We start from the raw sequence: 27,781 nt of genomic DNA, 5'->3' as shown, positions 1-27,781 counted from the left end.
GGTAACTAGTGCCAATATGTCTTTTGGAAACCTTCTGCAAAAACGCATACATGCACTTTTAATGATGAAAAGCTTACATTTATTAATTAGTCAACTTTAAACAAAGTAGCCATGAGAATCTATAGACCTCAACAAATGCTGAATATGTGCTTCCTTAAACTAAAAAACTCAATACAAATGACTACATTCAAAATAATTTTCGTGTTTTCTTATCATCTGAGATGTTAACAAAAAGGCTGTTTTTCAAAAAGATGATAAATACAGTTACCTAGATTTGTAATTGCTTCTTCAGGTCCCTTTGCCTTTCATAGTGAAGTAAGCAAAAGCCAGATTATATGATAAATACATAATTTATGTTATATACATTACATTACACTGGGGAAGCGTGTGTGTGTGTGTGTGTGTGTGTGTATATATGAGATGCCCTATTATACATATATATATATATATATATATATATATATATATATATATATAGACATGTCTGTATATTGCAGAATCACAACCATTATGTGTATATATCTCCAAACGGGTGAATCACAGAAGTAGGAAAAAAATTTACCACTCATGTCCTCATTTCCAAGAACACTGGCACTAGTAGGCACTCAATAAACAGTTATTAAACAAGGGGATGGATGGATGATTCTACTCAGTTTTTTACATATACTTGCTGCAACTCCTCTGTACCTTCCAAGATATTTTCTTTTTAAAAAGAATTATTTATTCATTTTGATGTTTACTTAAATGGCTTAACATAATATTCAATTTTCTTCCATTTTTTATGAAAATTAAAAGCATGCAGGACACTAAACCAGTGATAATAGAGTACCTGTCTTCCACTGTGAACACAGGCTTGCTACAAATAAAGAAAATGAATGCCAAAGGGAAACAGAAAATGATAAAGAATAAGTATCTGGTCTATATTTCATTACCTGTAAACACTAAGCAAAGCCCACTTTTAAGTATCTTTGAGAAAGTATTCTAAAGCAACTTGATTATGGGGGCTGACTAATTTGGGGACCAATATTTCTCTTTTATTTAGAGTTCTGTTAACATCGCTTGAATTTTAGGCAATAATTTTTAAGGCCAGTCTATGTTGATATTTATTATTATCTGTCTGAAAAATCAATTATCTATCTAACGCAGCCATAAAGATATCTATAAAAGTGTCATTAATAAGCAACATTAGTAAGAGTGGCCAACATATTGCCAAGAGAACTGAGGCTTTCCTGACAAAAAGGGACCTGAAAATTCACCCTAACAATCTAACAGTATTAAAATACACATGGTCATGAGGAAACATTTTTAATTAACATTCTTTTTTATGGCTGGGCGCGGTGGCTCACGCCTGTAATCCCAGCACTTTGGGAGGCCGAGGTGGGTGGATCACGAGGTCAGGAGATCGAGACCATCCTGGCTAACGGTGAAACCCTGTCTCTACTAAAAATACGAAAAATTAGCCGGGCGTGGTGGCAGGCACCTGTAGTCCCAGCTACACAGGAGGCCGAGGCAGGAGAATAGTGTGAACCTGGGAGACGGAGCTGGCAGTGAGCCGAGATTGCACTACTGCACTTTAGCCTGGGCGACAGAGCAAGACTCTGTCTCAAAAAAAAAAAAAAAACAACAACTTTTTTTTGGTTTTTTTGAGACAGGGGTCTCACTTTGTCACTCAGGCTGGAATGCAGTGGTGCGATCACAGCTCTCTGCAGCCTCAACCTCCCAAGCTCAAGCGTTTCTGCTACCTCTGCCTCCCCAGTAGCAGGGACCACAGGCACGCACCACCATGCCAGGCTAATTCTTTTACTTTCTATAGAGACGAGATTTGTTGCCCAAGCTAGATATTCTTTTTTTGGATAGAGAAAAGGTTATCTAACCTTAGAGAAGATTGAGAGATATTTGCAAGACATTAGGGTAAATTTTAGGACTAAATGCAAAATCTCTGGAGAAGGTATGGGAAGAAATTACTTGAGCCTTCTTGTGAATTTTTGTTATGGTTTGATCATAAATACCATGCAAATATCCTTTGTCAGTGTGTTTTGGCAGTTCTTCCAAAGAGACCAGGGAGTGAAGAGGATTACAGAAAGAAGGAAAATGAGGTTGATTTTACACTAGAAAAATGCAGTGAAGAATTCTACAACCTTTCAGCTACTTTTGTACCTCATTCCTGTGTCCAGTACACATTATTGCATAATCTTTCTAAAAACAAACATACAAACTTTCAGATACAATCAAAACTTCATTCTTCCCAACAATTCTGAGAGTAACCAAAATTGAATCCCATCATTTGTCCTAGTATTGTAACTGTTAGGGTGATTTTAGTTTTAAGAGACTGAAACACAACATACCTTCAAGCAGAAAAGGAAGTTTCTTGGCTCACGGAATTTAAGGAAGGTGGTCAACCGAACCACTGCAAGGTGCACCTCGGCCTCAGGAACGAGAAGAGCTAGAAATGAACTGTCAGAACATGCAATCTTGTCTGCTTTTCTCTGTATGTCTGCTTTATTCTCTCTTCATAAATCTTCTTTTTCTAGATGGAAAATAACAATTCCTTCATTCCACATTTTATAGCTACAGTCACTTGGCAGAAAAAAAAAACTGCCTTGATGCTTTTTCTGGAACAAAGTCCTAAAATCATAGGGAAGGGATTTATTGAATTTAATTGGATCTATTGGCTACCCTGGACCAATCAACAAGTTGGCCTGGAGAAGAGAGGACTGAGATTGGCTCACCTGAGCAACAGAGATCAATTGTGGCTAGGGGAGCAGGATCACATGGTAACACAGCAGCTCCTTGGGTACCATAAGCCTTGGCAATCAGGAAATGGAGAAGCATTCCTAGGACAAGGTGAATGTTGAAGTACTGGGCAGAAAAACTGTATATTACTAGCACCTATTGCACCTCATGGAAAAACTACATTAGATTCATGCTGGTGATACCTAGTTTCTGGGAGGTTTAACTCTAGCCCACTTAAGTGACCCTAGGTATGTGAGATATATAAACAACAGAATATCTATACAGCATGAAGAAATATCCAGATGGAGCAAATGGATTTAAATGATTGAGTGACATCTTCATGAAACCCTTTTTGAATACTTATCTGAGCCCTATCAAACTCTTTCAAGTATTTATGACCACTACTACACAGTTTATCAAATAATTATTCTACAGTTGCCTGAGTATTAGGTCTAAGTTCCTAGCTCAGCTGCAGGTATCTTATTTTATGCTTCCTTTTACCAAAAGACCTCTACACCAAGATTAGTGTTAAGGACATAATTTATTCCACATTCATCCCATAAATGATTCTTGAGAGCCTACTAATTTCTAGGCAATATATTCAATGCCCAGGATACAAAGATGATCAAAGATGAATCCTTAAAGAGAGCGCATGATTTGATGTATTTTGTCCCCATCACACTTGACATAGAAATCTAGCATAGCCAAATTTGATCTAGCAATTGAATTACCTCTCCAAACAACAGTAGTGTATCTAGATGCAGTTTTGTTTGCCTATCCAGAAAAATCAGAATTTTCCTCCCTTTTAAGCCAAAAGGCTATTAATGCAAATCCAATTGAATTTGCATATGATTACATTTCTGATGGAAACATTCATATGCAAATGAAAATTCATGCAAAGATAGCCAGATCATTCAAATAGTTGCTGAAATATCAAGATAAAATTAGGATATTAAATGTACATCCATCTATGTTTACTAGGTTACACTAAGGTCATCAAGTAGGACAATATTCTCAAAAAACTTAAACCATGTCTTAACCCTTAACATAAACCATTGACAACCCTCAAGTAGATACGAATTCAGAAAGGAGCTATTACGTTACTTTGTGCTGTCATAGTACTGAAAAAGAAGTCAGTCACTGATAAAATCAGTGAAGTTACTCAAAAGACATTCATCATGGCTCTGCCATTTTGCCCCTTTTATCCTTTCTTCCCATCAAAAGTAAAAGGTGATTTTTTGATAGATCTGATGTTATTTTGATGATCCAAAACAATGAGCAAATACTTTATGCAAGTTGACAGTTTCTACATACTCCATAGGGGCTCAGTGATGCAAGTGAAATGACATCATCACAGTCACCACCAATAAGTATCCATTGGAAAGCATCCATGACATTGTGCATACAGCAAGGGGAAAGTGATCTTATCTAAAGCCCATATTCTTTATTAAGTCCAGCTAATAACAGATTTAAGCAAAATTTCAAGGTATAAAATCTTAATCCACTACTGTACATTCCAAATCTATTTTTGAGGGAAATACGGTCTTGGAATAGACCGTTGTTCTTGTTAACCTTATTAGAAGTTACAGAGGCAAAAAAGAAAGGTTTGAGATCACAGCATTCAGGATTACTGGCGCTTAGTTTAGTGGTCCACATAGTGTAATTCTCCCACTTCCTTTTATTTGGTCCCATATATTTGTTTATAGTTTCAAGTCTTTTTAGAATTCTAGTGTTCTTTGCTTTGATGAATGTCACCTACCATCCATCAAATTTGGAAAGTATAAACCTGAGGGAGGTACCTTAGCATCTCCCAACTTGACAAACTGAATTCTTTCCCAGATGAATCTGAGGAATTTTGGATCTTAGGTATTTCTCAAATCCAGACACTTCCTTCATCTCCATCATCAATTCCTTAACAGTATCTTTTGCCTGGCCTAGGACAGGAACCTCCTAACCGGATTCCCAGGACCTACTTTTCTCTTTCTCCAATCCCTATCATACTATAGCCAAGGATGTCATCTAAAAATGCAAATAATCATAGTTTCATCCAGCCATCCTCCTTGCTTAATACTCTTCAATAGCTTCCTGCTTCTTTTAGAGTAAAAACCCAAATCCTTAAACAAGCTCTTACCTGCTGCATGGCCTGGCTCCCGCCTTACTCTCCACCCTTACATCACGTGGTTCCCCTTTCATCCTCTGCACTCCAGCACTGTCCTTTTTTTTTAACATCCTGAGATGTCCCATGCTTGTTTCAGTCACCACATTGCACATGCTGCTCTTCTCCAGCTTCTACATTTAGTTAACTTCATGCTTCTTCAGTTAAGACCTTCCTGATCTTCTAGCTGCCATCAGGTTCCTGTGTTACTTTTTTTATACCACCATATAACTTTCTTTCATAATACTTATCTGAGTTTGTAATGATGTGTTTACTTTGGAGATAATATCAGTTGTATTAATCTCTCTCATGGCTTCCCGAAGGATGAGCCTAGAACTGTTTTCTGCTCACCAGAGCAGGACATGATGCCTATCACACACTAGGCATTCAGAAAATACTTGTTGAATTAATGGATAGTTCCACTTTCTATTCCCCTCATAAAAAATCCAAGTTCATAATCATGAAAGCAAAAAAAAAAAATTGCCTAGCTTGCTTGCGCATCACCCTGCCACAGTTGCCAAAGAGAATTAGTATGTCAAATACTATAATATTGTTTATGGTAGAGAAGACAAGGTGAAGAATCTCGTGGCACCAAGGTTAACTGCTTTCAAAAACTATGATAATAGGATTCCACCATTAATTGTACCAGCAAAGCACTTTTTTCACCTACTTAGGATAAAGAATAATATAACAGCTACTCTCCCAACTTTGTTAGCATAAAAATATTATTTATGATAGCTAAGCCACATCTTATTTCAGAAACACATCTAGAGGTTTCAAATATACAAAATCTTATGACACAAGTTGCTAAAATTGAGTTACAACTGTTATTCATTTCACAGGAATAGAGTCATAATTACAAAAGTTAAAGTCACATCAAAATCACACACCAGTTTCTTAACTCCCTCTGTTACTTTTTATTTTATTTCTATCAGCTGTGAGCTTAATTTTATTTTCAGCAGCTTTAAAATACGGAACTAAAGATTAAAATTATAGGGAAAGATAAAATGCCACATTCTGGTGCTTTTTTTTTTTTAACAAAGTTGCATTATTATCTGTCTAGGAATATCTTTCCTTTTGCATCTGTCTCAGACTATGTAGTCCTGGCTGTCTGTGACATTCAGAGGGTGGAGGGTTAAAAACTTATATTTAGCAACAGGATGTATCTGTGGTTAGGGACGCTCAGTCTAGTGGACAATGAAAAATTAAATATACCTTTCTTAGAAGAAAATGAAATTTCAGATAGACTATTAAAATAGGCTTAATCTTATATTATCTTTAATGTTTATGGATCTTAGAATGCAGTTGTTGGCTTTTTAAAAAAAATTTATGAAAAACATTTTAAATTTCTTTCATTCTTTGTATATACAGACTAATATTCCAGGAAGAAAAAATAAAATAAAATGTGCTTATTTAACTTGAAGGAAAGTGCCCGCCTTCTTGCATATATTGCAAGAATAAGCATTCAGTCAATAATCGGTCATCTTCAACACTTCTTACAAATAAACTAGGTTTTGTAGTCTATTGCAAGTCAGCATTTCTCACTGGCTATGATGGAGATGGACTTGGGATCCTAGGAAGAAGGCCCGGAAACAACATTTCTTCTCCTTTTATGATTTCAGTGAAGAATGCAAATTGCACATCAGATTTTGAGGAATACTTTGCCAAAAGAAAACTGGAGGAACGCGATGGTCATGCAGTCAGCATCGAGGAGTACCTTCAGCGCAGTGACACAGCCATTATTTACCCAGAAGCCCCTGAGGAGCTGTCTCGCCTTGGCACGCCAGAGGCCAATGGGCAAGAAGAAAATGGTGAGGCTGTAAATCATTTTTAGCCACTGCACTGACCTCTGCAGCTGTTACAATTACAAATGCACTACATGCCTGGGTGTTTACCTTAAAATTTGAAGAACAGCTGCAGAGGCATGGAATTTCATGAGCAAAGATTAGAACTGTAATTTTAGGGTATTGTGAAATTTTTTTGTCAGCAAATTTGTGTCATTTGTACATCCAATAAAGAACAAGAACAATTAGAGCCCATTTCTAAGAGATAAAAATATCTAAATGTATTCCTATCTTTCTGAAATATTTTACTTTTGAGGAAAAAAAAGTTGAGACCGACACTCCCTCACCTTTTGTTCTTCTCCACCGACACCTGAAACGCCCCTTCACACTGTGAGTTCCTGAGTAATCTGTGGCTACAGGTTTCATAGGAACTGTCAGTCACCTAAAGAGAATTTCCTCATTTATCAGCTGTTTAAGTCCCCCCCACCCCCCCAAAAAAAAAAAACCTGAAGTAATTAATTAATTTTTGAGCACAGTGTGAGCTGATTCCGACAAGTCTGTCCTGGGCATGCGAGGGGACTGGTGTGCGAGGGGGCCGGGTGCAATGATGGCACTCTGTGGAGCAGATTGCAGTGATTCCTGTCATACCATCCCGGGCAGTCAGCCCATTAGCTGCCATTGATTTACTGACCTTTTGGCCCGCTTCTCTCTCTCTCTGTCTCTCGGCTACAGACCTGCCACCTGGAACTCCAGATGCTTTTGCCCAACTGCTGACCTGCCCCTACTGCGACCGGGGCTACAAGCGCTTGACATCACTGAAGGAGCACATCAAGTACCGCCACGAGAAGAATGAAGAGAACTTTTCCTGCCCTCTCTGTAGCTACACGTTTGCCTACCGCACCCAGCTCGAGCGGCATATGGTGACACACAAGCCAGGGACAGATCAGGTGGGGGGATGGTTTTAAGTGATTTCTTTCTATAATAACCCCTTAGAGAAACGATATTGCTTTGATTGGCAATCATTATTAATTTTTCATGGCATTTTGAAGATGCAGATCTTTTAATGGTAATAGCTTTAATTGAGGTCTAAATGATTTTTTGATGGTCTCTTCTAATATGATTTAATAGTCTTATGTTCACGATCGAATGAGTGTGTTAATTTCTAATTTAGAAATTTTATTTGCACTTTAACTTGACTTTAGTTTCATTTTTATGTTCCACAAAAAGTGAATGAAATTGTAGCATTTTAATTATACATTATTAAACATCTCAGCAATTTTAATTCCATTTTTCACCTCGCTTTACTTAGAAATTTTCTTTTCATATAGGATCTAAGTCATAGAAAAAGAAGTGTGTATTTCTTTCATTTTTCATATAACACCTTCAATTACTTAGAGTATTTTTATAAGCTGCTACTAGTTTATGAAATCTGATTAAGTGTTTTAAGGAAAATCAAAAAGGCATATATTATCTGTGTATATATAATATATAAAATAAATTGGATTAGTACTAAAACGTTGGATGTACATTAAAAATGATCCCTTAATATACATATTTGTAGCTAAATGTTAAAATTACTCCCCCTCTTTTTGCTTACTTGTCTCAAAAATAAAAACTCTGTCTTCAACAGTTAAGTATAGCTTCTTAAATCTTTAAAACAACTGAATAGGATTGATTCACAGTGTTCCTTAAATGTTACATCAAAACTCCTCTTTCCCACTGGGAGGATTGACTCTGCAAATTGATATTATGATATGTTTGCATGGACAGAAGTGGTGTGCCTTAAGTCACAATAACTGGCCCTACAGATCCGGAATCACTTAATTTAAGTCTTGACACCATGTCTGTTTTTAAAATTATTGAACATGATATTGTATTCAAAATTCTTAGGTTTTCCTTATAACCTTCATTTTCTTCGAATAAGGAAAATGAGGATAAGCAAACACAGTCAATAATGGTGATAAGACTAGATTATGGAATTTTACTATTTTAGGAGAACAGCTCATGTAAATTATTCCATTTATATCTGATTGGGCTTGTCACCTGAATGCTTTTCAAAGATGAGTTATAAAAAATATGCTTGCATAGTTGCACTTATGTAACAGTTTATCTCCCCTTGCTTATATGCACAAAAACTCAAGGAAAAAAAAAGTGCCTAGATATTTATCTAGCATAACCGCTTTAAATTTCACATGCAGAAGTGTGATTGTGTTGGCGCATTATGAATGGTAGCTTTGGTGTTGAAAAGTCCCCTCATTTGCTCATGGCATTTACAATTAGTAAATTAAAATGATTGTATCATATTAACAGTGGCACAACTAAAGTTTATAGTAGTCCTCTGAGGGCTGTGGGGGGAGACAAAGCAGCTGTTGCTGTTTGTTTATGCAACTCAGCAACATATGAGCGCTGGTCCCTCAATGGCGCTCGGCGGGCTGGGCTCTGCTTGATCTTTGAAGGTTGCTGCTGTTTGAACAAACCTCCCTGTGTCCCATGTAACACCATCTGTCTCACTAGGAATGTGGGAAGATTCAGCACACCCTAGCAGTTGTCATACCGTTTCTGTGCTGTCTTTTTGCAAAAGGCTTTTGTGTCATTGCTGCTAGAAAAAGGCTGACCTCCTACCTTGAGCATCCAGAGTGGATGACTGCATTTTTTTTCCAGAATTCTAAGTCACACTGCTTTTTTCCCCTTGTTCAAAAAGGTCAGCTGTGTTTGATTATATCTTTGCTGCTTTTAACTTGTCTTTTCAGGAAACTTTTTTTCCTTTTTTGTCCCTACTCCCTAGCACACTACTAAAAAGGAAAATGAAAAGTCGTTGAAGTCTTTCCTACTGGCCTGTGATAAAACTGCTCAAGCAGCTATAACCCAAGATGTTGTCTCTTACGTTTGATAATGAATCAAATCTGATAGGCGACACCTCAGGAAAAACTGGGCTTATATTTGCTACTAGCACAATGAATAGGATATTTAAACATGCTCATCATGTAATGAAATATTTATAGTCAAGGTTTTTTTGTTTGTGTGTTTTTGGTTTGGGATTGGGTTTTTTTTCTTTTTTAAATTTTAGATTGCTTCAGTATAAGATATACTTTTATGCTGATACAAAAAAATTGATAACTTTTGTTGTGTGGGGGTGGTTTTTCTTGAGACTATTCAGAATTTTCAGGAAAATATTTTTTTCTTGACAGAATTGTCACATTCTAGCAGAGAATGTTCATATTTTAGAATTTGTGGTAAACACGAAAAACAACAAATATCTTTACAGTTATACTTCCTCGTCCCCAAAGGTTCAAAGAAACATTTTGGAAAAGACACTACAGAAATAATTCTAAAGCAAGTGTTGGATGCGCATGTGAAAGCACTTTTTTTTATTTGTTCCAATTTTATTACCAACATTATCACTTTTATTGCAACTCTGAAAGACTGAGCAGATAAATAAGCATGCACTCAAACCTTTTGGCCTGTCTGAAAAACAGAGGCCTTTTAAAAATATTTGTAACAAATTTTCTTTGTTCCTCCTGCACAAAACTGATGTCAGTCTTTCTCCTTTTATAGCACCAAATGCTAACCCAAGGAGCAGGTAATCGCAAGTTCAAATGCACAGAGTGTGGCAAGGCCTTCAAATATAAACACCATCTGAAAGAACACCTGCGAATTCACAGTGGTGAGTAGCAGAGGTGCTGGAGCTCGCATTTGCATTTTACTTAATTAGGGGAGTTTTAAAAGATTGTTTAAAATTTACACAGTCCTATTTGTAGCTTTTTGGAACTATCTATTTATTTCATCAACTCTGTGTGCCTGATTTGTGTTCATGAGACTTATGGTACAACCAGTAGCACTGTCTTATAAAAAGAAGCAGAATGCTTACATGTCTTAAAAATTACAAATGCTTTGATTTATTACAAAATCTAGAGGCTCCTTTTTGTCCTTTTAAAACCGCTTCTCCAGAATAAATATTTCTGACCTGAGGAAACTCAACTGGCAAATTCTGAAAGATATTAATTTTTGAGACCTACCCATGAAAAAAAGGGTGAAGAATTTTGGATAAGAGCTATGTATGATAAATACTCCCTGATTCCTGAGGGCCGTGGATCACAGAACAGAATCCTACCACTGAGATTTCCTCTTTATAACTAGTTTGATAGCTCTGCCAAGCATTTTATTACCAAGTTGGATGCTATTCAAAGGACTAGTTGGATTGGTAGAATCAATGGAATCTCCACAAAGTTTATTAAAGCCATGGCTACACTTGCCTTTAAATACTGTGACATCTTTATTGTGCTATTGACCACACATTAGTCTGACACTCTGTTTAAATAGGAGGCTGCCGATGGCAGACAAGATTTGGGATCTCAGCTGAAAAAGGCATAGATAGCCCTTACCTTCCACTGTGAACATCTTGAATTATGTCCTCCCAGGGCAGATAAAGTTCAGAAATGGTTATGGTCACATAATTCTAATCTAAGTACCTAGAATGTAGAGGTACCCCATTGTGTTCCTTTTGTTTGGTTTCACAGATTCTTCTCTTGGTAGACAATTGCAATTGTTATCTAATCAAGGAAATGTAACGGTAATTTTAATTATCATTTTAGGTGAAAAACCTTACGAGTGCCCAAACTGCAAGAAACGTTTCTCCCATTCTGGTTCCTACAGTTCGCACATCAGCAGCAAGAAATGTATTGGTTTAATCTCTGTAAATGGCCGAATGAGAAACAATATCAAGACGGGTTCTTCCCCTAATTCTGTTTCTTCTTCTCCTACTAATTCAGCCATTACCCAGTTAAGAAACAAGTTGGAGAATGGAAAACCACTTAGTATGTCTGAACAGACAGGCTTACTTAAAATTAAAACAGAACCACTAGACTTCAATGACTATAAAGTTCTTATGGCTACACACGGGTTTAGTGGCACTAGTCCCTTTATGAATGGTGGGCTTGGAGCCACCAGCCCTTTAGGAGTTCATCCATCTGCTCAGAGTCCAATGCAGCACTTAGGTGTAGGGATGGAAGCCCCTTTACTTGGGTTTCCCACCATGAATAGTAATTTAAGTGAGGTACAAAAGGTTCTACAGATTGTGGACAATACTGTTTCCAGGCAAAAAATGGACTGCAAGGCTGAAGAAATTTCAAAGTTGAAAGGTTATCACATGAAGGATCCATGCTCTCAACCTGAGGAACAAGGAGTTACTTCTCCTAATATTCCGCCTGTCGGTCTTCCGGTAGTGAGTCATAATGGTGCCACTAAAAGTATTATTGACTATACGTTGGAAAAAGTCAATGAAGCCAAAGCTTGCCTCCAGAGCTTGACTACTGACTCAAGGAGACAGATCAGTAATATAAAGAAAGAGAAGCTACGTACTTTAATAGATTTGGTCACTGATGACAAAATGATTGAGAACCACAACATATCCACTCCATTTTCATGCCAGTTCTGTAAAGAAAGTTTTCCTGGCCCCATCCCTTTGCATCAGCATGAACGTTACCTTTGTAAGATGAATGAAGAGATCAAGGCGGTCCTGCAGCCTCATGAAAACATAGTCCCCAACAAAGCCGGAGTTTTTGTTGATAATAAAGCCCTCCTCTTGTCATCTGTACTTTCTGAGAAAGGAATGACAAGCCCCATCAACCCATACAAGGACCACATGTCTGTACTCAAAGCATACTATGCTATGAACATGGAGCCCAACTCCGATGAACTGCTGAAAATTTCCATTGCTGTGGGCCTTCCTCAGGAATTTGTGAAGGAATGGTTTGAACAACGAAAAGTCTACCAGTACTCAAATTCCAGGTCCCCATCCCTGGAAAGAAGCTCCAAGCCGTTAGCTCCCAACAGTAACCCTCCCACAAAAGACTCTTTATTACCCAGGTCTCCTGTAAAACCTATGGACTCCATAACATCACCATCTATAGCAGAACTCCACAACAGTGTTACGAATTGTGATCCTCCTCTCAGGCTAACAAAACCTTCCCATTTTACCAATATTAAACCAGTTGAAAAATTGGACCACTCCAGGAGTAATACTCCTTCTCCCTTAAATCTTTCCTCCACATCTTCTAAAAACTCCCACAGTAGTTCATACACTCCAAACAGCTTCTCTTCTGAGGAGCTCCAGGCTGAGCCTTTAGACTTGTCATTACCAAAACAAATGAAAGAACCCAAAAGTATTATAGCCACAAAGAACAAAACAAAAGCTAGTAGCATCAGTTTAGATCATAACAGTGTTTCTTCCTCATCTGAAAACTCAGATGAGCCTCTGAACTTGACTTTTATCAAGAAGGAATTTTCAAATTCAAATAATCTGGACAACAAAAGCACTAACCCAGTGTTCAGCATGAACCCATTTAGTGCCAAACCTTTATACACAGCTCTTCCACCTCAAAGCGCATTTCCCCCTGCTACTTTCATGCCACCAGTCCAGACCAGTATTCCTGGGCTACGACCATACCCAGGACTGGATCAGATGAGCTTCCTACCACATATGGCCTACACCTACCCAACTGGAGCAGCTACTTTTGCTGATATGCAGCAAAGGAGAAAGTACCAGCGGAAACAAGGATTTCAGGTAAAGAGACAAATGTTTTTCTGCTATGAAGAAAAGAGGTGGCAATTATTTTGATTATGTGCATGTAGGAAAAAAAAATCTTAGTGAAAAAACTCAGCAGAAACAGAAGAGTTTGCTTTAACATGAACCTAAAACCATCAGTGGGCTAGAACAATGGATGAAACAGTGGATCACTGTACTCTAAGCACATTTGCTTTAAAAACAAAAAGGATAAAGAAGAAATTAATATTTATTTTGAGATGTATTTAGATGGACTCATCTGCTTTTAAAATTAAACTTTGGTGAAAATATTTGGTAGGACTTACCTAGGTGCTAGAAGTTAAAGTTTATAACCGTCACGTGCTTTTAAAGATGTACACAGGACAGGTGTGATGGCTCATGCCTGTAATCCCAGCACTTTGGGAGGCCAACGAGGGTGGATCACTTGAGGTCAGGAGTTTGAGACCAGCCTGGCCAACATGGTAAAACACCATCTGTCCTAAAAATACAAAAATTAGCTGGGTGTAGTGCTGGGTGCCTGTAATCCCAGCTACTTGAAAGGCTGAGGCAGAAGAATCACTTGAACCCAGGAGGCTGAGGTTGCACTGAGCAGAGATCGTGCCACAGCACTCCAGCCTGAGAGACAGAGCAAGACTCTGTCTTAAATAAATAAATAAATATAAAGATGTGCACAACTTGCAATAATGTATATACACATTTTAATAGGTACATTTGTTTTACAGAGAATGGTTTATTTTGAAGAGTATTCTTAAAAATATCTTCCATATTTCACATGACTTCTTACCAAATCTTCAAAGTAGTTAATAATTATGCTTTATCAAATAGGAAAGCAGTTATATTTTAACATTATGCAGCATATAATCTTTGTTTGCAAAATAGGAGCATAAGTAGCAGTGCACCTCTGTAACAGCTGTTCCAGTATTCCAATTTACAGTACATCTGCCCTCTTTGTAAATGTATTTAAGCCTATTTAATCTTCTCTAATATTAATTAGTACAAACATAGTCTAAGAAAACTGAACTGTGGGCTAGCAAATGGAAATGTATGTTATCATGCAAGTTTGCACTCCTTTGGATCAAGACAAAATAAATATCAAGAAATTTAATAATTTACTGATCCACATTCATTAATGTTCAATGCTGAAGGCTGTTTTAACATAGAACATTGATAAAAAGTGTTATTAATATTCCCTATTTCAAATTAGAAAATTAAATATAAAAATATAGCTTGAGGCCTTTAGTTGGTAGACATACATTTAAATAGATTGCATAATAATAACATTTTGTACCTAAATATAAAATTCAATTAAAATCGGGTTTCTACAGCTACAGATCATTTCTAAAGTTAAGCATACTGGAAAATACACAAATTTCAATGTTAAATTTTCACTTATGGGTATTTCTTGGTATAAAGGAAATGAAGGATTTTAGAAAAATTTGTTTCTCTCACCTTCAGAGTTGACCATTTCCTGTCCTTAAAAAACAGTGAGATCTACCTTCCAGGGCAGAGAAGTTTATATTTTTGTTGCGTATATTGTTGCATATACTGCATATTGAGACCTCATATATTGTTCATGGAAAAAAAAATGTTTAACTCAATCAATTAGTAGCAAGCAATTTTGAGGTTCTCCAAATGTCCCCCTATGTGAAGTTGTTTGGTGTGAGCACAAAGAGAAGCCACTGTATTGAACTGTGTGATTCTATCGCAGGGAGAATTGCTTGATGGAGCACAAGACTACATGTCAGGCCTAGATGATATGACAGACTCCGACTCCTGTCTGTCTCGCAAAAAGATCAAGAAGACAGAGAGTGGCATGTATGCATGTGACTTATGTGACAAGACATTCCAGAAAAGCAGTTCCCTTCTGCGACATAAATACGAACACACAGGTATGAGTGACTTTGCCTAACTGGTTAGAGCTTCCCGTCCTGCTGTACATTTCATAATATTTAATGAGCACACTTGTGCAACATAAGATGTAACATATGCTGATACCTTCAACAAGGAAGAAATAATGCTTTTGCCGAGCTCAGTAGGACTTTTTTGTTGCCTGTTTATTGGATCATTCATGTCTTTATGAGTGTGCTTGTCTTAATATCTTTCCAGTTATTCTGTAAACCAAATTTAGAAATTATGTCAAAGGGACAGTCAGATGGCCAGGGCAATGAAATGGCATGACACAGCCAGTTATTGAAAATACCTTCAAATTCTTAAGTTTCAAAGCTTAAGATGAACCTATATATGTAAAAATCTAATAAGAAATTCAGACAGTAATACATTAGTTTCATCATCCAAAACACCAAGAAAGCCATAATTTAGGGGTAATTTTGTTTGCCTTTTTTTTTTAAATTCGCCACATTTTGAAAGAACTAAAGGCATTAGTGTCATAAAAGAAAAGTAATAGATCAGATGAGCTACTTGAAACCACCTATATTTGGAAGATTGAAATAAAACTTTCTAAATTTTAATTAGTATATTTCCAATTCATGCATTACTAATTAGGAACAATTACAAAGAGTTGACAAGAAAACAGCCTAATTCTTCACTATGAGTAGAGAGATAGTGGGTTAATTTTTGAAAAGAAAGATGAAGTACCATATGTAATTTAATATTACTTCCCACAATCCAAGATCTGCAGCTCTATGGTTGAGCTCCACTTGTGTTTCCTCCCTGGCTCCATCCCCACCTCCCTGAACAATAAGGTAGCTGAACCTCATCCCTACCCCTAGCCCATCTCCAATTCTTCTCCACTGGAAATTTGGCATGCTCTATTAGCCCTGGATCGGGGGGGAAAAAGTGTAGGATCTCAGTCAAAATTTTGGCACGAGGGAACAAAAAAAATAGGGGAGTATAGGAAAACAACTCATTCTAAACCAGGAAGTCTAGTATCAAACATTTCAATATGGAGGAAAAAAAACTAGCACTTTGGGGGGAAAGCTTTTTGGGGGAAAAGCGATGATGAGGCACAAAAGAAAAAGAAGGAAGACAGAAAAGGGAATATGAGCCAGGCGCAGCAGCTCACGCCTGTAATCCCAGCACTTTGAAAGACCAAGGCAGGAAGACTGCTTGAGCCCAAGAGTTTGAGACCAGCCTGCACAACATAGTGAGACCTTGACTCTACAAAATATTTTTTAAAAATTAGCTGGATGTGGTAGCTCAAGCCTGTAGTCCCAGCTACTTGGGAGGCTGAGGTAGGAGGATGGCTTGAGCCCAAGAGGTCGATGCTGCAGTGAGCCATGATTGTGCCACTGCACCTCAGCCTGAGCAACAGAGTGAGACCCTATCTCAAAAAAAAAAAAAAAAAAAAAAAAGCGAAGGGAAGGTGAATACTTCCTGTCATATTTTGACTACCTAGATACAAGGCACTCTTTTCTGTCACTGAAAACTGTCCTTGGGAAGTACTCGTACTCATCATCGGCTATTATTCCTCACTGGGCACATGCTGGAGGCAGCTCAAGTGACCAGCATCAGCCTGATAGTGTGGGGAGGGTTTTTGTGAAGCAACAAGGTTGATAAATAACAGGGTTCTTACTCCAACCAATACAGTTTTCTTTTTCTTTAGCTGTCTGATATTCATTGTTATTATTTTAAAAGTTTAATGATACCTTAAAGACAACCCAATCTAAATCCAAACAGCTTTTATACTTGTGTTATATAATTCAATGTTTGAAACATCAAAATTTTCTTTTAGTGTAGATATTTTCTTTAGTACTAAGTGCTACTTAAGCATTTACAAAGTAAAGATATTTTCATACCTAAATTTTACTTTAATTTTAATATTTTAATCAACCTTAAATATATTTTGTATTCCATTATTCAGCTACAATAGGCACATCACTGAAGGCATCTTTCCCTCTCTGATTGGTTTTATTATATGACCATATGCAAACTCTATCATTTACTACACGGTGAGTGTACAACTTTTATTTTAGTGAGGGCTGTCATACACATTGACATCCAGTCAATATATTTACTTCTTATAAATTAGAGAATTGTAACCTTCATAGGTCTGTAGATAGTTGAGAGGCCCAAAAGTTGACAAACACAAATATGCATAATTTATTTGAAAAATAAACTTCAGGCCTGATGCGGTGGCTCATGCCTATAATCCCAGCACTTTTGGAGGCAGAGGCAGGTGGATCACCTGAGAGCGGGAGTTCAAGACCAGCCTGACCAACATGGAGAAACCCCGTCTCTACTAAAAATACAAAATTAGCTGGGTGTGGTGGTGCATGCCTGTAATCCCAGCTACTTGGGAGGCTAAGGCAGGAGAATCACTTGAACCCGGGAGGCGGAGGTTGCAGTGAGCCAAGATAAGGCCACTGCACTCCAGCCTGGCCGACAGTGTGAGACTCCATCTCAAATAAATAAATAAATAAATAAACAAACAAACTTTGTTTTTTAAAGTAAAAATAAACTATTCTGCTCCTTCAAGATGTGAGAGCTGCTGCCTCGAAACATTGCCTAGCAACAAGATGCTAATCATTCAATGGTTGCTCTAAACTTGTGATTAATTATCTTCCTGTTGGCTTTCCAACTTGTCAAGTTTCCAGCATGTTAACTTTTTGGTCACTTGACCAAACATCTCATGACATTACTACTGTCAGTGTATTAGGTTCTATTCAAATCAAGTTCTTCATGGATTTTCTATTGATGTGATGTATGTGGAAATTTAGTCCATGTTCCTATCCCAATTGAACCTGTGGGATAGTTCCTATCCCACTAGCCTTTCATTTGTTTACATTAAGCACTAGTAATATTTTGAGAATGCACTAAGATGAAAATTATAAGTGAGAACTGTCTTGGGACTGACTGATTCTAAGGTCGGGAAATAAAATTGAATCATCATTTCATTATGCATTGATTATGAATGTGTCCTTGGTAAAGTGTGTTTGTGATGTCTGTCTACAATTTTACATATAGAATCGTTTAACTTAAGAAGGAAATTATGAGCTACTTATTCTTGAGACCCAGTGCTTTTTTTGCCTCAATTTATTTCCTAGGCAGATACCAAAGTCATCATGCTTCATTTTTCTTACCAATGGCTTATTGCTTGCTTGCTTTTCCTGGGACCTGGGACTGGGACAGAGGAGGGAAACACTATGTAAATGTTGACTTCAACAGAATTAATTGTCACAAACAAGGACTGTGAAATTAAAAACTCTGAAACTCCTGTTAGGCACTGTCAAGAACTCATTTGTATTCTAAAATTTAAATCTGACCTTTATTGAGTGCTTTCTCTGTTGAGACATCATGGTAGGTGCTTTTGAAACCCACCTTATTTAGAAAAGTAATACAAATGTTTCTACTTTTGAGTAGATAAGTCTAAGTTTTAAATAAATTTACCAGTCAATCTTGTTTCTCAGTTATATGGTAATTTTTTTCATACCACAAACCTTTCATTTATTATTAAGTTCAGTTACCATTCTAGCTGTCAGGTGAATCACAAATCTAGATATTAGAGAAAATATTTACCCTAAGAAAGCTTGATTCACTCAGTATCAATTTGGATGTTCTGAATCTTGGTCATGTGGAAATTTAATTCTAGGACATCTTGATTTGAATCAGGTAAACCAGCAAAACAAGTTAAAAAGAGATGAATGTCCAAGTCAGTTACTATTTAAATTGAATTTATTAAATGCTTACCACTGAAACTTCTGGAGATCAGTAGACTATTTAGTGTAAGGTATATGTCAAAACTCTCACCTGCTCCCAGATTCTATCCTTTGCATGGTATCATAACTGAACATTTTATTTTTTCAGGTTGTCAATTCATAATGCAGGATTAATATATGCGTATTATAAGCATACTGTTTATTATCGAATGAGTTCTCTGAAAATTGAATGTCTATAACCAAGGCATATCTCTAAGACAGACTGCAGTTTAGTGGGCATGCCCGAAGCATTGCTAACGGGCCTTGAAACCTATAACAGAGGATGCTTGCTCTCTCTGGACACTGCTCTGTGTTTTGTTGCTTTGGAAAAGAAAGCCATATCATAATGTTCATTCAAAATTATTCATACAGTCTCTTCCAGAAGTTACCTAAGTAGTTGACCTTTTTGTGCTCCTGAGCTAATGAGACATTAGTATCCAAAAGAGGTTGTAGGACAGTTTGCCCATACACGCCGTAGCAACTAGAGCATCAAGAAAATTTTCATCTATAATTTCTCTTCTCTCTATTCAGATTTATTACTTCCATGTACTCTGCTCCTGCTGCATGCGTCCTACTTAGAACTTGAGAAATTATTGAACATGTATTAATGAATAAGAATAACATGATCTAACATTAACTGACTGCCTACTATGTGCAATCCTTGTACTAAATGCTTTATATAAGTTGTCTTCCTTATTCTTTATGCCCAGTCCATGAGTTAGGTCCCCAAATGATCTTCCTTTTACCTACTGATCCTGAGAGAAGTTAACATGCCTGAGAATGCACAGCCTGTCATAAATGATGGATGTGAACCCAGATAATCATATTCATTTAACACTGCCCCTATGGATGAATTGCTGCGACTAGAAACGTCTTATCCTTTCTCCTGACAGCATCCTTTCCTTTAAGGTCCAAGTCCACACAAGTGAGACCAAATTCATAACATAATGACATGAAGTTTCCCGGGAGACAAAACCTCTTGTCTTTTTCCCAAATACACGTCTGCTTCCTCTTAAATTACCTTCCTACCACGGTGTCTTTCCAAATGGAAAAGCATGCTATCTTTGCAGACTCTTGGCACTCCATTGGGATTCTCTGTTATCCAGTTTACCTCATTCAAAACATCTTTTCCAAAAGTTAAGGAATGGTTCTTGTGTGGTTTGAATTATACTTGCTTTCTTCAGAGTATGAGCTACCTTGAAGTAGGTTATTAGAACTGTCTTTATTTCCCATATAACTAGTAGTCACCAACAAATATCTTTCTGATTTCCACTCTTCCAGTTAAATAACTTCTTTCTACTCTAATATTATACCTTACTACATTTATCATCACTAAATTTCTAGTGGACATTCCAGTTAAATAAAGACCATTAATGAAATGACATATAGCAGTCTACAGCACTTTCCGAATAGTGGCATGCCCTGGAGGCATTCAATAACATTATTAAAGATATTTAATTACTGATTGAGATTTTATATCACCATATAACTGAATACCTAAAGTGTATAGAATGGGTCCCTAAACTTATAACATGACACTTAGCAAACGAAAATGGGATTGGATCTACTTTGTTGGGTTTTAATTTAATTTGCTGAAATGCAAGTTTGTATTAGGAAATAAAGCATACAACTTCATATATGTTACAGTGATCCATGGCACTCTACATGACACATTTCTGACTTTAACTCTGGAGCATCAGGCTGATAATTTTTTTTTATCAGTTCTATTTTGGAAATAAACTTTCAAGTATGGCAGCTATGGAAGGTGTTGAAGGCATTCCAGTGCTATTTGTGGCCTGGAATCAACCAGATGTGTTTAGGCTTGGCACTGGCTTTAAGTTCCAAACACTGGTTAGAAACTGCCTGGAATGCCAAAGGAAATACAGCATTCCCTAGCTGAAGAGTATTTTAACACTCAACAAGTGGCTGACATCTTATGGAAAACTTTAGAGGGAAAACACTATTTGGAATCAGTTCAGCCTCCATGATATACACCCTCCTAATTTGTATTTTCTAATGGTTTCTTCTCTGATTTTTATTCTTAGACTCCTATGACTGATAAGACAGTCTTGACATCCTCTTTCCTCTGTTTCTTCCACTCCCTCCTAACTTGGCAGTTTGCTCCCATTTAAGACCTAAGATCCCCTTTCAAAGCAACTATCTCATGATATAACAAGCAGAGGATATACATGCCAATGCCAGCGATGATGCCATCTTTATCACTTTTGTACAAGTCTTTGTTTTAAAAATGTAAGGAAGAGAATTACCTGATGAAAACATGTGCTAGATCACTAGAAATGTCTTGTTGAATAGAACATTTTTCCAAGTTTTAAAATGAGACAATTAGCAATGGAAAGCTTCCTGTCTGAGAATTTTCCTCCAGCAGCTTTCTAAGTTCTTCTTGTTTATTAACTACATTGCATCAGCAAGCATTAGAAAACCAAATTGTGGGATGGAAATGCATCTTCCTAACTCTCCATCGATTAGACCGGGGTGTGTTGATCTTTCAGGCATAAGTACACACGCTTATGCCTGAGTCTGGACTCGCGTACAGAATTAGTGGAAAGAGACTTCATGCAAAGACACTAATCACCCTGTCATCTTGTTCTTTCTCCCAGGAAAAAGACCACATCAGTGTCAGATTTGTAAGAAAGCGTTTAAACACAAGCACCACCTTATCGAGCACTCAAGGCTTCACTCGGGCGAGAAGCCCTATCAGTGTGATAAATGTGGCAAGCGCTTCTCACACTCGGGCTCGTACTCGCAGCACATGAATCACAGGTATTCCTACTGCAAGCGGGAGGCGGAGGAGCGGGAAGCGGCGGAGCGCGAGGCGCGCGAGAAAGGGCACTTGGAACCCACCGAGCTGCTGATGAACCGGGCTTACTTGCAGAGCATTACCCCTCAGGGGTACTCTGACTCGGAGGAGAGGGAGAGTATGCCGAGGGATGGCGAGAGCGAGAAGGAGCACGAGAAAGAAGGCGAGGATGGCTACGGGAAGCTGGGCAGACAGGATGGCGACGAGGAGTTCGAGGAGGAAGAGGAAGAAAGTGAAAATAAAAGTATGGATACGGATCCCGAAACGATACGAGATGAAGAAGAGACTGGAGATCACTCCATGGACGATAGTTCGGAGGATGGGAAAATGGAAACCAAATCAGACCACGAGGAAGACAATATGGAAGATGGCATGTAATAAACTACTGCATTTTAAGCTTCCTATTTTTTTTTCCAGTAGTATTGTTACCTGCTTGAAAACACTGCTGTGTTAAGCTGTTCATGCACGTGCCTGACGCTTCCAGGAAGCTGTAGAGAGGGACAGAAGGGGCGGTTCAGCCAAGACAGATGTAGACGGAGTTGGAGCTGGGTATTGTTAAAAACTGCATTATGCAAAAATTTTGTACAGTGTTAAGGCCTAAAAACTGTGTGGTTCAGAGACTAATTCCTGTGTTTAATAGCATTTATACTTTAAGCACAACTAGAAAATTGTAAGAATTGCACTCTACTTATGTATCACTACAAACTTTAAAAAACTATGTCTAATTTATATTAATACATTTTAAAAAGGTGCCCGCACTACCATACATCAGTATTTTTATTATTATTATTGTTATTCCTTTTTAATTTAATGTGCTCGCACTACAATGCATCAGTATTATGATTCCTCTGTACTTTCCTTTCGCTATTCATCAATTTCCCATTTTTTTTTTCAGCTTAAGTAACCACACAATTTTAGGCCTCAATTTTTTTTTTTTTCTGTGAAGGAACTTGAAGTGATGCATGTGTGAATTTAAGATACCGAAGTCTTAAAGTGACCTGGACGTGAAGGAAAAAGTAAGATGAGAAATAAAGAAAGCCTTTGTAAGGTGGTTTTAAAAGCCTTATATGCAAACCTTTTAATCTGTGTTTCTGCAAGTGCCATCCTTGTACAGTGTTAAGAGGGTAACATGGGTTACCTTTGCACCAGCTTCAGTGTTAAGCTCACCCTGTTCTTTGAAGCACCCATGTCAGTATTAGAAGAATAGGCAGCAGTTCCTTAGTTTACATATGTTTGTGCAATTATTTTCTGTACTTTTTTGTTCATTAATTTTGTCAGTATTACACCAAACTGTTTTTGCAACAAAAAAATTTTTTTTGCATTCATTTAATTTTAGGTCAAATAACATTTTATTTATGTGGCTCATTTTATATTTCCTAATTTTATTTATTTCATACTGTAGTGTACAGTATTATAGTTCTTCAATATATAGATATATTTTAGTAAAAAAGGAACATGACGTTGATCATTTGGGCAAATTTTACGTAAAGAGAAGAGCATTTATTGTGTTTTGGAACATTAATTGTGAGATGGGATTTTTCAATTTTATTATTTTATTTTTGTTTTTTTCCAATTACTGGAAATTCCAAATTTGGGAACTTTTGATACGATCTTGTGAAAACACTGTATTTTCGACTGAAAATTCCACTTTCTTCATCTTGTTTTTTAGCTAAAAAGAGGGACTGTTAAATACAATGTATGATACCATGACAAAAATCTTTCCTGAATTGTCTTTGTAAAAGTATTATTGAATTTTCAATTTGTAATTTCTTTTGAAAATGACCATGCTCGAATAAAAATGTAGCCAAACTAAGAATGTAGTTAATGAGTTCTGTACTTTTAGAGAGTTTTCCTTCAATGACCATTAACATGTAACATGCTTTATGCTTATAATAATGCTAATTATGTTTTTTTCATATAATTTTAGTTTAGCAATAATTTTGACTGGTACCAATAACTGTTTTTTAAAATTCCATACCTATGTACAGCAATTTTACAGCTTTTCTCAACTGATCCTGATTCCAGATTGTGTATTTTTATGTGAGGTTATATTATTCAAATTTAGTCTATTTACTTTACAGACATTTCTACTTTTGCATTACGAGTATTTAGAGATTATGTGTTAAAAATTCACTTCTCTGTCCAAGGGGTCTTTGTGATTTATTCAAAAAAAAGTCTAATTTCAAAAAGACAGCTATTATTCAGTGTTATTTATAATATGTAACCTTTTTTAAAGGATTGGGATAGTTTATCTCACTTTTTGAAATGCAGACAGTAGTTTACCGTTTATCTGAAACTAGAAGGCGTGGGTGGGAGAGGAAAAGCTAAAAGCAAATGCTAACAAAAATAACCGTGATTTTCTAAGACAGTTTTTCAGTTTTTACAAGATGACCCTAATATTCAGAATATGAATGTATTCGTAGGTTTTACATAATGACTTTTATCAAGAAACTAGATTCTGCTTCTTAAATCTAATTGCCAAGTGAAGAATAACAGAAAAAACAGATTACCTTATCAAATTTACAGCTCTTGAATATACAGAACTATAATATAGTAGCTGTCCATGTATTTTTTCTACTTTAGAATCAAAGAAGAAAAGCATCATTTTGCTATTAAATTTGCTAAAATTTTGAGTATGATATTTCCAGTTGGCAAGAACAACATATTTATATTTATTCCTTAGCCATAATACCACTTTCCTAAATTTCACAAAAGTCATTCTTTGCAACTTGAAACTCAATAGAAAGTGTGTATGTGTGTGTGTGTATATATATATATATATACACACACACACATACACAGAAAGGATGTAATGAAGATACAGTAATAGTTGAGCAGACCTTTTTAGAAAAACATGTTTTTAGCTCTATCTTCAAACTTTCTGGCAGAGGGGGTGGGGGGGGCAGGGGGAGGAGTGGCATCAAAATGCTATGCCTCCTGTTATCCACAGCCTAGAGTTTTTATATTTGGAAAGTTTAGAAAATTCTATCCTCGTTTCTCCTTCTTTGAATGGCACAAATAAATACACTACATAAATTTTTCTGGTTTGAAAGGCTCTAGGCGATAACTTTATTAATTCAACCTGAAAATATCAAGCCATTAAATTTTGTCCGGGTAGAATAAATCCCTGTGGCCTCTTTTAAAGCAATGTAGGTCTCTGTTGCCCATGGGGCATATCTGTGTCCCAATCCACAAGAGATAGGACCAACAAACAATGAATGTGCAACCTAACTCTTTCTCCTTGGAAAGAAGAAAGTGTGCACGAAGTAGAGGAGGGTGGGCAGACCCTGCCTTGCCCCTCCTGTTACCCCCTTCTCTGTCATTTGTTCCTAACTCCATTTCATAGGCAGGCTCAGAATACCTGAGTCTGAAAATATCAGGATAACACTTGTGAATTGTGACAATCACTACAATGTCCCATATCTGAGGAGTTTTTTTTAATGCTATTTATCCGCTGGACACGATTGCACATTAGGGCTGCATAATCCTCTAACTCTAGGGAAAAATAAAAACTTTTGATTTGTCTTAAGATTCTTCTCCAAGGTCGCAAACAAGAAATTCCCCTCCACAACCAAGAGATGTGCATTTTAGTAACATCAGATGTGTTCTTCTGTTTTATCAACTACTTACTCTTCCCACACGCTTAGTTCTAAATCTAACCTTTCCCCCCTCGAATAGGGGGCAGGGGAGGATGAGGAAACACTGGAACAACTGAACACCCCTGCCCATTTTCTCCAAGAGCCTTTTGTATTCTAGCATATCTGTGCAATCTTTTCTTTTTTCTTCACATGACACTGTAAGCTTAGGCCTGAAATAACTGGGAAGAGAGATGCGTATCAGAATTTCTCCGCAAGAGCTAAACAAAACATACATCTTCCTTAGCATGAATTGGACTGGGGGCGGAGTGGGAGGGCTTGGAGGAAAGGGGAAAGAAGGGACTATATTTGAATAAATATGAATAAATGTATTAGATACTTTTCACAATCAGATAACTTTTAAAAAGGTCATTTTTTATCTTTCTAATAATGTAAGCCTTAATAAAAGCAAATCTTAGTCACAAATTTGAGGAGACTGCCCAATAATAAGTTTACATGTATTTGAACTGAAAAATTGTTAACCATGCTTTTGCTCCAAGATGTGTGAGGCCATTCAGGGGCTGTAGGGCCCTGGATATACACACAAACAAGTGTGTGTATATCTGGAGCCCCACACATTGTAATAAACACAGCTGCATTTATTTGACTATGTGATCCCATGTACATGTAAAAACATTCAAACAAACACACTCAGCGGATTTATTTATTGTGCAATGGGGCAATTATTCAAATAAACATGCTCAATGCAATTATTTGAATCTCACATTGCATGTTCATCAATCATAGCACTAAAAAAAGAGGGGGAAAAAACACCAAAGAATTCACATGGGGAAAAAATATATATATGAAAACCACCTTATTATAGATTTTATAGGGCAGCTGAGGTTATGGCTCCCTTCTTAACTGTAACTCAACTATTCTGTATTCAATGACATTTGTTTCTAATGATTAATTGGTTCACTCACTTGATCATATAATAGCAAACTTTATAAACCTGTATTGTGTAGAGATGTGAAATCTCTATATTTCAAGAGCAGAAGAGTTCTTTCTAGACACCTTACATCAAGGGACACTGGTCCAATTATTATCGCTTATATAAGCACTCCTATAAATTCTGAAAAATTTTATACATGCAACAAAACATTCCTACATTTGAAGACATTAAGAAAAATCACAGGTGACTCATCTGATCATTCTATATATTAATAAATATTATGACATATATGTGAACACATCACAAATCATATTGGTGTACCAAGAGGCAATTTATGCCTCTCTTAAGTATGTACTGACATAACCTAATATACTAAAATGGGAAGGGGCTTTTAGTCACTGAAATATGCATCGTGTAACAAAGATGAAGAAAATACATGGCTTGTGCCCATCATAAAAAAAGATTCAGACTGAAGGCTTAGCTTTGGTTTTTTCAATTAAATTGTTAAACTGTGCACAGTGATTTTTTTTTAGAACTTGAGACATTTGTGATGTTGGCTGTTTAAATCTTTGTTACCTTCGCTGTGAATTGAAATTGTACATATTTAGTAAATCATGCAGACAAAACAAACTTTTTAGACAATATTTTTATTGGAGAGTTTTCTTTTCCTGTATCCATGTTAAAAAAAAAAAAGACCTCCTTTCCCAAAATAAAAATGTCAATACTAAATTTAAAGAAGTATAAAGGAATGATTGCTTCCTTTAGAGCAAAATATTTAAATAAACATGGAGATAATTGGCAACATGTTCTTTTTGGGCTAGTAGGCTGTGTCCAATTTTTTGGGTCTGATGTTTCAGAGGGCCTCTGTTTCAGGGTTGAAGATGATATATTAATCTCGGAATTAAACAAATGCTATTAAATAACAGAAATAAATCCTTCAGTCTTCATTTGTATCTGAAATGTGGAATTAGTCAGAGAAATGGCACCGAGATAATATGATGCTGAATATGCCACAAGCTAAAACTTTCTCTATTAAACGAGTCGCCTACTACCTATAATCTAGCATGACATGTTAAAATGCTCCAAAATACTGAAAATAGAAAATGAACACTACTGTTCCGATTTGGTCTTGAGATTAATATGACAAAGATTCTAATAATTTTAGTCAAAGAAAATGATGAGTAAAAAATACATGAAGATTAAAGTGATGACAAATGATCTTTTAAGTATTCTAATTGGTCTTTCTCATTCATAGCTTTGATTCCACAGAAATTGCAAATCCTGATTATCCTGATTTGTAAGTGCACCCAGTCAGCTTTCTCTCTTTCACTCCATGGAATATGCCTGTTAGATTTGGAACGAAGGATAAGCCCCCAAAATGTTAAAAATAGACTACTGCCCTGGCAGGAAATTTAGCATTGGCAAGCACAGAACTCAGAAGGAATTGATCTAACATAAGGAAACATTCAGAGAAAGATTTGTGCATTATGATCCTGTTCTGACCATTTTCAGAGCAGTCAAAGGGAAGTAAAGTGTATGTGGGTG

At 36.7% G+C, this 27,781-nt stretch overlaps 1 protein-coding gene across 2 annotated transcripts in view, besides 1 other annotated feature; it reads left to right on the top strand.

Moving 5' to 3' along the window:
• ZEB2 (zinc finger E-box binding homeobox 2) overlaps window positions 1-27,454 on the top strand; it is a 136,039-nt gene extending 108,585 nt beyond the window's left edge. For both annotated transcript variants that reach the window (NM_001171653.2, NM_014795.4), the window contains 6 exons: window positions 6,511-6,699; window positions 7,405-7,619; window positions 10,228-10,336; window positions 11,265-13,234; window positions 14,943-15,123; window positions 21,507-27,454. In NM_001171653.2, coding sequence (NP_001165124.1) covers window positions 6,511-6,699; window positions 7,405-7,619; window positions 10,228-10,336; window positions 11,265-13,234; window positions 14,943-15,123; window positions 21,507-22,084 — 3,242 coding nt within the window. In that variant the 3' untranslated portion in view covers window positions 22,085-27,454. The remainder of the gene's footprint in view (window positions 1-6,510; window positions 6,700-7,404; window positions 7,620-10,227; window positions 10,337-11,264; window positions 13,235-14,942; window positions 15,124-21,506) is intronic.
• Window positions 6,602-7,039: an enhancer, noted in NCBI's record as "ENSG00000169554_2:144878533-144878970 (NCBI36/hg18 genome assembly) insert fragment". NCBI's record gives its function as "drives selective reporter gene expression in differentiated C2C12 myotubes {active_cell/tissue: C2C12}" and the evidence as "EXISTENCE:reporter gene assay evidence [ECO:0000049][PMID:22144875]".

The sequence above is a fragment of the Homo sapiens genome, chromosome 2, assembly GCF_000001405.40.
Source record: "Homo sapiens chromosome 2, GRCh38.p14 Primary Assembly".
NCBI classification, from domain to species: domain Eukaryota; kingdom Metazoa; phylum Chordata; class Mammalia; order Primates; family Hominidae; genus Homo; species Homo sapiens.
The sequence above is the reverse complement of the archived record's forward strand: the minus strand, read 5'-3'. Positions and strand labels throughout refer to the sequence as shown.